The sequence below is a fragment of the Homo sapiens genome, chromosome 14, assembly GCF_000001405.40.
Source record: "Homo sapiens chromosome 14, GRCh38.p14 Primary Assembly".
In the NCBI taxonomy this organism is placed as follows: domain Eukaryota; kingdom Metazoa; phylum Chordata; class Mammalia; order Primates; family Hominidae; genus Homo; species Homo sapiens.
Genome location: NC_000014.9, coordinates 99,370,580 through 99,382,890, shown reverse-complemented (window position 1 = coordinate 99,382,890; position 12,311 = coordinate 99,370,580). Strand labels below are relative to the sequence as shown.

At 47.3% G+C, this 12,311-nt stretch overlaps 1 annotated feature.

Moving 5' to 3' along the window:
• Positions 3,825–4,119: an enhancer, noted in NCBI's record as "tiled region #7827; HepG2 Activating non-DNase unmatched - State 4:PromP, and K562 Activating DNase unmatched - State 9:DNaseU". NCBI's record gives its function as "activates a minimal TATA promoter and a strong SV40 promoter by Sharpr-MPRA in HepG2 and K562 cells {active_cell/tissue: HepG2 | K562}" and the evidence as "EXISTENCE:reporter gene assay evidence [ECO:0000049][PMID:27701403]".

Below are 12,311 nucleotides of genomic sequence, written 5' to 3'. Positions count from 1 at the left end.
ACCACACTCTCCCCAGCGTGAAGAATTCCGCTTTCAGAATTCCTTCCAGGGCGGTGTGCTTGCTGTGTCTACTGAAGATGAAACTGCTCACCTCTCTTTCCTGTTACTAAAAACAAACTATTTTTCACCACCCACACGCTGCATCTAGCTATATGAAAATACTCCCTTCCTTGTCTATATCCTATTATGTTGTATTACTTTTCCACCATCTATTTATCTTGCAAAAAGACATCGTAATTCTAAAGACAGCTTACGCTCTATTACAGAAAAGAGGCACAATGTTTATTAGTCAGAGTGAGTCCGCTGGACTGAAATTTATGGTGTGCCCAGAAAGCTCGGGGGCCGGTGCAGGAACCTCAAAGAACAGGAGGAAGGAGCGATTCAGAAAAGAAACAGATCCGTACCGCGCATTCACACTGCGCGCAAGCGGGACCTTTCTCAGCTTTCCATCCGCACCTTTCTCAGCTTTCCATCCGCAGCTCGGCACGTGGGTGCCAGCGTGAGTCCACTTCACACTCTCACAGCTGGGGCGGCTCCCAGGCCTCAGAGCAGTCCGGTCGATCTTCAGCCTGGCCCTGAGATATGCAGGGCATGCAGATTGCAGATCAAAAAACTGAGGCTCAGGCAGAAGAAGCAGGGCTGGAATTGGGTCTCCTGCTTCCTTGATTTCCCGGTTCTGGAGCTTTTGGACCGAGGCAGGCCCCGTGTCAGGGAGGAGGGGGCTGCAGTCCCAGGTCCACGTGGAGCTTCCATTCCAGAAGGACAATCTGACAACAAACTGGTAAACGCCTAGGATGATTCCAGACGACTGTAAGTGCCAAAAAGAAAGCAAGTTGGTAGGGAGCAGTGGCCAGAGAGGGACAGCCCTTTGCATGGTTGGTCCAGGAAGCTGAGCTGTGAATGGCAAGGGGTGGGGGGACGTCAAGGCACAGAAAGGCTCCCTTGGCTGGAGCTGGGGGAGCAGGCAGGTGGGCTGGGATGACGAGTTAGCTTTAAGGAGAGGGAGAGTCAGGGTTGGCGCCTGGGTCCCTGGGGAGCCGCTGCGCGGGTGGCAGTGCAGCTGGTCACCCAGAGCAGGAGCACTCAGAGCGCAAGGAGGGAGTCCAGAGCTCCACTCTGATAGCTCTGGGTGCTGAGCAGAGGGTCCTTTGTGGATGGAAAGGAGTGTCTGCAGGTGGAGCCGGAGACACAGATGTGAGAGCCGAAGGGTCCTAGGGCTGGTGGCTCCTGGGATGCCCAGGCAGGCACGCTCGTCCTGGCTCTGGTGGGCACCCAGGTCAGCCTTCCTGCAGAGGCCTCCAGCCTAGGCTGGCTTGCAGGGAAGGGGCTTGGGAGCTTCCGGAAGGTGCACTGGGGACCCTCAGTCACCCAGAGAGTCTCATCTGCAGTGGTGCAGCCTCCAGGTGGGCCCCCACACTGGGTTGTTTCTGTATCCCGCGTGCACGCAGCAGCACTGGAAGGGGTCAAGGCTGGGTCTGGTCTGTCCCTCCGCCAAGCCCATGACCGACACGTGTCAGGACCGCAGCAGTGCACAGAGGCGCAGAAGGTGTGTTTGGGATGCCCCTGGTGCAGGGGTGAATGGAGAAGAGGGTTCAGGATTCTGGGGTCTGACACTTAGTGCCAATCATGAGAGAGGCATCTGGCAGACAGGTGGGAGGAACCAGGAGGGTGGGGCCCGGGGGCGAGAGGAGAGAGGGCGTCTAGAAAAGCAGGCAGCCGCAGGGGACACTGATGACTGTTCCCCTGCAGAAGTGACCACCAAGCTGGCCTGCTGCAGTTGCCTGGGAGGGCGGGGTGTGGGCACAGCTTGGGGGGACGAGGGGATAATTGAGAGGTGAGGAATGGTGGCTCTGCTGTGGAGAGAGCCAGCATCCCGGGGAGGGGCTCTGGGTGTGCAAGGGTGGCCTCGAAGTTAAAGGAAAATCCCTTCGTGCAAGAACAGCTTGTCTGGGCTGCTGTCTGCGGCTCAGGTGCTGGCATGGAGAGTGCAGTTCAGCTCGCTTGGCCAAACCCCAGCTACTGGTTGGTGATTGAAGAAAAAGGGGGAAGGGGCATGGGGAATCTGAGGGCTCCTGGCTGGGCGAGTGGCAGGTGAGGGCCCCAGAGGTGTGATGAGAACTGACCCAGAAACAGGGTCTCTGTCTGGGGGAGTGGTCAGGGAGGGGCAGGCTGGAGTTGCTGTTTGGTGGGGTGGTGACAAGATCAGGGTGTAGCCATGCCCAGGGGACCAGAGCACAGGAAGTGAGGGGGTGGTGTTGCCATTGCCGAGAAGCTGCTGTGCTGGGTGGACTTACCCAGAGGTGGCTGCAGGGAGCTGCTGAGTGGCAGGAGTGCTGCGATCCAAGCAAAGTATTCTTTCAAATGGGGCCTTAGGGCTCAGATTTACCAAGGACATCACTGTTGGCCTGGCCGGGTGAAACCAGTAGGGAACAGTCCCTGGTGAGGAGTCCCCGTGGAATGAAGACCCTCCTCTTACTGGGAGGCCGAAAGCTGCAAACAGAGCTGGTGATTGCAGCTCCATTGAACATACTCAGTAATTTCTGGTAATGACCAAGAAGAATTGAAGAACAAGCTCTCCTGAAAGGTCATTTATCCAAGAGAAGAAAATTACTTCTTTTCCTGGGGGCTGTCATCTTTTGCTTTAATTAATATCAAACGTGTGCACTCTTGGCGTTGACTTCAAATGTTCAAGTGGACTTCCCGTGACATTTTTAATAAAAAAGAGTAAATCCTTCTGGGCTGACGCCAGGACCTGGGTGATCATCAGAGCCTTCCCTGTTGCAGGGGCGCCTTGGTGGCCGACTGATGCTGGCCCTCACTGCGGCCAAGGAGGACGGGGTCTGGGACACACTGCAGCAAGGGCCTCTTGGCTTATGTGGTCATTCATTCATTCATTCATTTGCAACATGAAGAACAGGATTGCCTGCGTTCAAATCCCAGCTGCCTGGGCAAGGGAGCTTAACCTTCCTGTGCCTCAACTTTGTCATCTATAAAATGGGACAGCAGGCCAGGCTCAGTGTCTTTGTTTGTAGAAAAGGCAGAGGAGGCCGGGCACAGTGGCTTATGCCTGTAATCCCAGCACTTTGGGAGACTGAGGAGGGCAGATCACCTGAGGTCAGGAGTTTGAGACCAGCCTGGCCAACATGGTGAAACCCCGTCTCTACTAAAAATACAAAAATTAGCCTGGCATGGTGGCATGCATCTGTAATCTCAGCTACTTGGGAGGCTGAGGCAGGAGAATTGCCTGAACCCAGGAGGCAGAGGTTGCAGTGATCAAGATTGTACCACTGTACTCCAGCCTGGGTGACAGAGTGAAACTTCGTTTCAAAAAAAAAAAAGAAAGAAAGAAAGAAAAAGAAAAACAAAGGGCCAGGTGCTGTGGCTTTTGCCTGTAATCCCAGCATTTTGGGAGGCCGAGGCAGGCAGATCACCTGAGATCAGGAGTTCAAGACCAGCCTGGACAACATGGTGAAACCCCGTCTCTACTAAAAATACAAAATTAGCTGGGCATGGTGGCCAGCACCTGTAATCCCAGCTACTCAGGAGGCTGAGGCAGGAGAATCATTTGAACCCAGTGAGTCGAGATCACGTCATTGCACTCCAGCCTGGGTGACAGAGTAAGACTGTCCAAAAAAAAAAAAAAAAAAAAAAGAAAAGAAAAAAGAAAAAAAAATGGGAGAGCAATAGTACCTATTTCACACGGCTGTTTTATGACTCACATCAAATACTTTTGTGGAGTGCTCAGCACAGAGAAGAGACGCACCTGCCCAGCTGGAGTACTTGTTGCTTTTTTGTGTCTGCCCAGCACTGTGCCAGTACCAGGGATGCATGAACAAACTAGCCAGATGAACCTTGCCTCAAAGCCGAGTCTACTGGCTTTGCTGTTTGAACCCAGGGCAGCTGCCGGTCTTTCTTTCCTCTCCCGAGGTCCCCCAGGCGTGTGTCCCATGTGGCCTGGTTGTTTACGGGTCTGCTCCCCCAAGCCAGACTGAAGGCGGGGCCATGTCTGACTCACCAGCAGCGGCTGGCTTGAGGGCTGGCCTACCCCAGGGCCTGGGAAGTAGGAGCTTCAGAGATCACAGAGTGGAAAGGGGATGGTCTAGGGTTCCAAGGTTGGGGTGCAAGGCCCTGGGACAGAGACTGGGACTTCACTTCCTCCCCATGTAGCTGCAACAGACTGTCCAGTCCAATCCAACAATTCCTATTGTTTAAGTTTTTCAAACAAGAAAGTTGATGTGAGGGTTGGTGCAGGGTTTTTTTTGTTTTGTTTTGTTTTGTTTTTTTCCCAAGACAGAGTCTTGCTCTGTTGCCCAGGCTGGAGTGTAGTGGGGCAATATCGGCTCACTGCAACCTCCGCCTCCTGGGTTCAAGCAATTCTCCTGCCTCAGCCTCCCGAGTAGCTGGGATTACAGGCATCCGCCGCCAGGCCTGGCTAATTTTTGTATTTTTAGTAGAGACGGGGTTTCACCATGTTGGCCAGGCTGGTCTTGAACTCCTGACCTCAAGTGATACACCTGCCTCAGCCTCCCAAAGTGCTGGGATTACAGATGTGAGCCACCATGCCTGGCCCAGGGTTTTGTTTAAAGTCACCATGCTGACCTGTCTCTCAAGGAATCAAGAGATGAACATGTTCTTGGGCACAGCTCTTCCTGAATACGCAGGTTAGCGTGGTGAGCTCCAAACTCCCTTTTGGAAGACGATTCCTTAAGTGCCCACCCTGTGCCAGCACCTCGATGGGGAGACAGACCCAGCGGTTCCTTCTGGGTGGCTGCTGTCTCCTCAGCTAGAGCCATGAGCCAGGTAAGACTAGCCCGGAGAACTTGAACTCCGTATTTGAAGGGGCTGACACGATGGTCCATCGTCCTCTCTCCTCTTTAAAAAAAAAAAAAGCCTTACCTCTGCCTTTTCTCCTCTCTCTCTCTCTCTCTCTCTTTCTTTCTTTCTTTTGATGGAGTTTTGCTCTTGTTTCCCAGGCTGGAGTGCAGTGGCACGTTCTCGGCTCACTGCAACCTTTGCCTCCTGGGTTCAAGCGATTCTCCTGCCTCAGCCTCCCAAGTAGCTGGGATTACAGGCATGCGCCACCATACCTGGCTCATTTTGTATTTTTAGTAGAGACAGGGTTTCACCATGTTGGTCAGGCTGGTCTTGAACTCCTGACCTCAGGTGATCTGCCTGCCTTTGCCTCCCAAAGTGCTGGGATTACAGGTGTGAGCCACCGCGCCCGGCCTCCTCTGCCTTTTCTACAAACAAGGACACTCTCTTGCTTAATCGCACTATGGCCATCTAAGTGAGAAAGCTAACACTGATTCACGAGTCCCATCCAGTCCTCAGATCCCATCTGAGCTTCACTAACGGCCCCAGGAAGAATCAAGCCTAGCATTTAGCCATCAGGCCTCTTTAGTCTTCTTCAACCTGGAACGGCTGTGCGGTCATTCCTTGATGACTTTGACACTTCCATGTACTACCTGGCCTGCTATTTACAGGATGCCCCCCACTCCATGGGGGCTTGTCTCTTGCGTCCTCATGATTAGATTCAGGCTCTGCATCTTTTCAGGGATACGACAGAAGTGACATCGTGTTCTGCTCCCTGCATCCTATCAGTGGTCCCAGAGTGTGATGTGATCATTTGATTGGCTTCTGCCAGACTTGCCAGCTGTGGAGTTACTCTTTTCTCCTTTGTAATTAATAAGTGTCTCTGTGTGTGTGTGTGTGTGTGTGTGTGTGTGTAGGTGGTGGTGGTTACATTTTGTGTGTGTGTGTGTTTGAGCATAGATCATGTGTAATACGTAGATATCCCCTGCCTGGTCTATTAATACCAGGTTAGGGTTAGGATTAGGTTAGGGTTTCAGTGCCCCCCTTGCTTCTGACTTGGCGTGGGCTGCCTTCCAGGCTGGCCCTTGGCTGTCCCTCATTCTCTGAGCACTTTCATACCTCCTCTTACAACAAGATGCCCTGCTTTATTTTGTACTCTCTACACCCCGGCCTCAGTCCACCAGCTCCCTGGGGAGTGCCATCTCCTTTAGTGGAGCACAGTATTAGGAACCAAGAGCTGGAGGCTGGGTGTGCTCATTCCTCCTGCGCCCCGGTCTTCCAGGCCCCCTCATTCACACACACTGCACACCTCTAAAGCTTCCCTCCCTCCCTCCCTCCTTTCCTCCCTTCCATTCCTCCCTCCCTCCCTCCTCCCCTCCCTTCCCTCCCTCCCTCCCTCCCTTCCCTCCCTTTCCCTCCCCTCCCCTCCCCTCTCCTCCCCTCCCTTCCCTCCTTCCCTCCCTTCCCTCCCTCCCCTCCCCTCCCTTCCCCTCCCCTCCCCTCCCTTTCCCTCCCCTCCCCTTCCTTCCCTCCCTCCCTCCTTATCTGCCTCTCTCCCTTCCCTCCCCGCTCCCCTCCCTTCCCCTTCCCTCCCTCCCTCCCTCCCTCCCTCCCTCCCTCCCTTCCTTCCTTCCTTCCTTCCTTCCTTCCTTCCTTCTTTTCTGCCTTCCTTTCTTGTTTCTTTCAGGGTCTTGTTCTGTCACCCAGGCTGGAGTGCAGTGGCTTGATCAGGACTCACTACATCCTTGACCTTCAAGGCTCCTCCTGCTTCAGCCCCCCGCCCCCAGTAGCTGGGACTACTGCAACCTCTGCCTCCCAGGTTCAAGCAATTCTCCTCAGCCTCCCAAGAAGCTGGGATTACAGGCATGTGCCACCACACCCGGCTAATTTTTGTATTTTAGTAGAGATGGGGTTTCACCATGTTGGCCAGGCTGGTCTCGAACTCCTGACCTCAGGTGATCCGCCCACCTTGGCGTCCCAAAGTGCTGGGATTACAGGTGTGAGCCACCGTGCCTGGCCTATCTTTCCTACTTTTTATTGAAGGAATTCTTTATATGTTTTGGATAATAATCCTTAGTTTGTTAAATATGATGTAAATATTTTCTTTTCTGCCAGTGCTCTTTTAACTTTTAGCTTTCTTCATAAAGGCTTTTACATTCTGTAGTTAAATTTATGAATTTTGCTTTTTAGTAAATCTTATTTAAAACTCTTCCCTGTCATAAACATATTTTCCTAGATTTTCTTCTATCACTCTTGCCACTTCAAAAAAAGAAAAAACATGTTTACCTTTATTTCATTCATTTTTGTTAGTGGTGTGAAGGCAAATTTTAATTTTATTTTTTCCAGGTAGTAAATTGTTCCAACACTTACCAAATAATCTTCGTCCCCCTGACTGATTTGAAATGCCATCTTTATTCATATACTGAAGTCCAGTATTTACATGGATCTGCTTTTCTGAACTTCTGTTTTTTTTCCAAGGATGTATTTATCCATTCATGTGCTAATATCACATTATATTTATTAAAATTACTTTATAATATTCTTTGACATCTTGTCAGGCAAAATTCCCCTTTGTTTTTTCTTTTTTCAAGCTGTCTTGGCTATTCTTGAGCATTTACTCTCCAATCTGAATATTACAATCAGCTTGTCAAGTCCCATTAAAATCTTGATCATGTTTTGATTGGGGTTGTATAGAATTTATAGATTTATTGGGGGATTAAAATGGAGCAAAATATTAGCTCTTAGGATTGGGATCTGGCACAGGGCAAGCGTGCATAACTTTTTGCGGAGTCATGACCCACTGTCTGTGGAAGGTGGGAAGGTGGGCGTCCCGCGCTCTCTGGACAGCAGAGGCCCTCTCTGGCCCTGGGTCAGGATGCTCAGTGTGGGGCAGTGGAAGGTGCTGTCATTTTCTCCCGAGGCATGCAGACACCAGGGATTCCTCCAGAGGCTCTGTCGGGGCCTCCATGAGATACAAAGTGCTGGACGGGAAGGGTTGGTTCCAACACCATTCACTCGCTCACACTCATCAAATGCTCACTGAGCGCCTGCCCCATGCAGGTGCTGGGTGCTGGGTGCTCCAGGGGCAGGCAAGAAACTCCCGTGTCTCTGAAAGACCTTCCTCCAGATTCCCAAAGGCGGGTGTGGAGCAGGGTGGGGTGACCCTGAGGAAGAGCCCCTCACTGCAGCCTGGAGGGGACAGTCTCTGGGGTGGGCTTCACAGGATAGGTCAGTTTTCCAGGCACCACCAAGAATGGGGCTTTGTAGGGAGAGGACGTGGCATGTCTGGAGACACAGTGGTGTGGGGTGGGGGCTGGGAGGGGGTGGCCCGAGTCGGGGAAGGGCAGTTGGAGATGAAGCCTGCTTGAATCTTGCTTGAGGCTTGTCTAGGTGGGGTCTGTGTGCCATCTGGGGGTGGGGGATAGGGTGCCAAGGGTAGGTGTCAGGTAGAGGCCCAGGACTGGATGCAGAAAACCCCAGGCAAGTCGTGTGTCCTCACGGTGGAGACAGGGAGGAGACCAGTGAATCAGCCCCATGTAGCTGCACCTGTGTGTTTCCACGTGGGCTTCAGTGTTTATTAAAGGATAAGTAATAAAATATACTGACTTGAAGTTTACATTGATTATTATTATTATTAAAACCCAACATTTACTGCAGAAATTGTTTAGAACTCAGACCAACAGGTTTTATGTCAGAGTGGGTTATGTATCACTGGCATTGTGTAGACTTGTTCGCACATGGTAATAATAAAAAGCAGACTGATTTGTAGCTGGTTTTATTATGTTTGAAATTTTCTTTTCTTTTTTTAAAAATTAATTTTAATTTTAAGTTCCGGGGTACATGTGCAGGATGTGCAGGTTTGTTACATGGGTAAACGTGTGTCATGGTGGTTTGCTGCACCTACCAACCCATCACCTAGGTATTAAGCCCAGCATGCATTAGCTATTTTTCCCAATGCTCTCCCTCCCCTCACTGTTTGAAATTTTCTACAAGCAATGCACCTGGGTGGATGGCTACTACCACCCACGCTTGGTGCACCGCCACCCTCACCCCATGTATTTTCCAACCATTGCCTTTTTTTGACCCATTTTCATAGAAAATCCTTGTCTTCACTTCCTCACTGCCCATTCTTTATAAAATGTTTGCTTAGTTAAATAGTGAGACTCTGCAAAATAGTATTCATGAAAACGCAGAAGATATACAGAGTAACAATGCACAAATCCTTATCTGCCCACCATTCCGTTTGTGACACAGGACAATACATCAACTTTGAAGCCCTCTGTGAACCCCTGCCCCAAGTCCCCTCCCCTTCTCGCCCTCCTTTGGAGGCAATCATTTTTGTTGATTGATCATTCTCTTGCTGTTCTTTATTGCTTGATCACAGGCTTGTGGCCTTTCCTGAACATTATTACATCATTTAGGTTTGCATGTTTTTAAATCTCATATGATTAATTTTGTGTATATTCTTCTGCCCCTTGCTTTTTTTTGCTCAACATGATATTCCTGAGATTATCCATATTGTGTGAATGAATAGCAAGCAGCTCATTCTTTTTCGCCACTGTATAGGATTCTGTTCTATGAATGGACCACAATATATGGATTCATTCTTCTGCTGATGAACTTTGAATGATTTCTAGTTCTTTGAGTTCTTTGTTTGTTTGTTTGTTTGCTATCATAACAGTGTTGCTTATACAAGGCCAGTCTTCTGGTGCTCATGAGCCTGAATCCTCTATGGTAGACACCCTGGGTTGGAACGGCAAGGTCCTGGGGTGGGTCATTTCTTTAACTTTACTACATAATAGAAAATGTGACTTTGATAATTTAGACTCCACCAGTATGAAGTTGCCATTGTTCTGCATTGTCTTCAAGACTTGATATTGTTGCTGCCTAGAAATTTTTAAATTTTTAATCATTGGCACTCTTAGATGAAGGATATGACTGGGTACAGGATTCTGAGGTCACTGCCTTTTTCCCCTCAGTAGAATCTCAAACACTTTCAGATGAAAAGAACACAACCAGTCCTACCTCAGTGGTATATCTACTCCCAATACCTTTGTTAAAAAAAAAAAAAAAAGAAAGAAAGAAAGCACACCAAGTTCTAGGCAGGATTAGCTTGAAGAAGTTTCTAAATTCCAGGGAAAACTTTTAAAAAGACTTCAAAAACCAGATAGAGGTAAAAAGTTCACTTACTAAGAGACTATTGACTAAAATCAGACTTCTCATTTGCCAGTCTAAAAGTCAGAAGACAGAGAAACAATGCTATAAGGTTTGTACTATTATTATCCCCACTTTACAGATGAGAAAACAGAAAGGTTAGAATAAGTTCCTTAAGATTACAAATCTAATAAGTAATTTGTGATTTAGACTTGTACTATCTGACTCCAGAATACACACTTTTATCTACCAAATTCTCCTAAGTAAGATTGGAATATCAGAAAATTACTTAAACACGTAAAGGCCTTTTATCCAAATTGAACAGCAAACAGTAATTCTAAAGCCACTGTCATTAAAATTAGGATGAAAAAAGGGATGCCTATTATCAACACTATTATTTAGTTCTAGCTAAAGTAATTGGAAAAGAAAATAAAAACAATCCAAATATGTGAAAAAAGTGATAAAGTTGTCTTTATTTGCAGATGATATAATTATATATCTAGAAAATTTAAGCAATTAAACAACAAAAAGCTAAGGTGGCTGGATACTAGATAAATAAGCAACAACACAGTAGCTTTTCTTTATATTAGAAATAACTAGGAATGGAAATGGAAGTCATCACATTTGCAATGGGAACAAAATTATTATTTTTGAAAGACACAATACAAAACCTGAATAGATGGAAAGAGACACAGTATTCCTGGATGGAAAGAAAAGTATCAGTCAGATGTGGTGGCTTACACCTGCAATCCCACCACTTTGGAGGCCAAGGTGGGTGGATCACTTGAGGCCAGGAGTTCAAGAACAGCCTGGCCAACATGGCAAAATGTTGTCTCTACTAAAAGTACAAGAAAATTAGCTGGGCGTGGTGGCATGCACCTGTAATCCCAGCTACTCAGGAGTCTGAAGCATGAGAATCACTTGAACCTGGGAGGTGGAGGTTGCAGTGAGCTGAGATTGCATCACTGTACTCCAGCCTGAGTGACAGAGTGAGACTCTGTCTCAAAAAAAAAAGTTTAATAGTTCTGAAATTAATATATACATTTAATGCATTTCCAATGGGAATTCCTACAGATTTTTTTGGAGAGCAAATTAGATAAAATAATTTCAAAGTTTATATGGACAAGTAAGTGTAAAGATTTGGCAAGAAAAAATGTGAAGGATAGTGGAAAGAGAGATGCCCTACCAGATATTAAAACTTCTTGTAAATCTTTTCTAATCAAATAAATAGGGAACTGGCACAACAATCAGTGAATATTGATCTGAGGGGGGAAAAGAGGTTTCAGAAACAGATGCAAATATACCTCGGTGCCTAGTATTGACGAAAGTGTTGTTTCAATCAGGGGGAAAAGAAGAGATAATTTAAAAGGATTTTACAAAAAAATCCTTTAATTTAAAAGGATTTTACAAAAAATCAATTTCATATGAAGTAATCACAAATGTTAAAGCTAAAGCAATTAGATATTAGAATAGAGGAGACTATTTGTAAAGTCTAAAAGGGATTGGCTTTATTAAGCCAATCAGAAAACAGAACTCCAAAGAAGATAACTGAGAGATCTCTCTACATAAAAGTGAAAAATAGCTCAATAGCAAAAGACCCCATGGTCACATGACAAATGACAGACTGAGAAAAAATATTTCTAAAACATTTGCCAAAGGGTTAAGAGCCCTAAAATAGAAAAATCTCCAAGTATTGATAAGAAAAAGACAAAAAATAGGAAAGAAGGCAAAGTATATGAGTGGATAATTTACGGAAAAGACATATAACCATTAAATATATAAGGTGCTCAGCCACACTAGTAATCAGATTATCAAATATTAAAATCAGTAATATTCAGTGGTGCTGGTTGCGGTGGCTAACGCCTATAATCCCAGCACTTTGGGAGGCTGAGACTGGAGGATAACTTGAGGTCAGGAGTTCAAGACCAGCCTGGCCAACATGATAAAACCCCATCTCTACTAAAATACAAAAATTAGCTGGGTGTGGTGGTGCACACTTGTAATCCCAGCTACTTGGGAGGCTGAAGCAGGAGAATGGCTGCTCACTGGCAGAATGAGTGAGGCAGAGGTTGCAGTGAGCTGACATCACATTACTGCATTCCAGCCTGGGTGACAGAGTGAGACTCTGTCTCAAAAAAAAAAAAAAAATTCAGTGGTGACATCATGTACAGATAATGGTCACTGTCAATACGCTGTGGGTGCCAGGAGTAATTTCTGTGCACTTTTGGGAAATTATTAGGGTACTACCTATTAAAAGTTAAAACATACATACACAGAAATTCTACTTCTGGACCTCTATCCTGTGGAAATCAAAGCACCAGTATGCAAGGATATTGTGTATACAA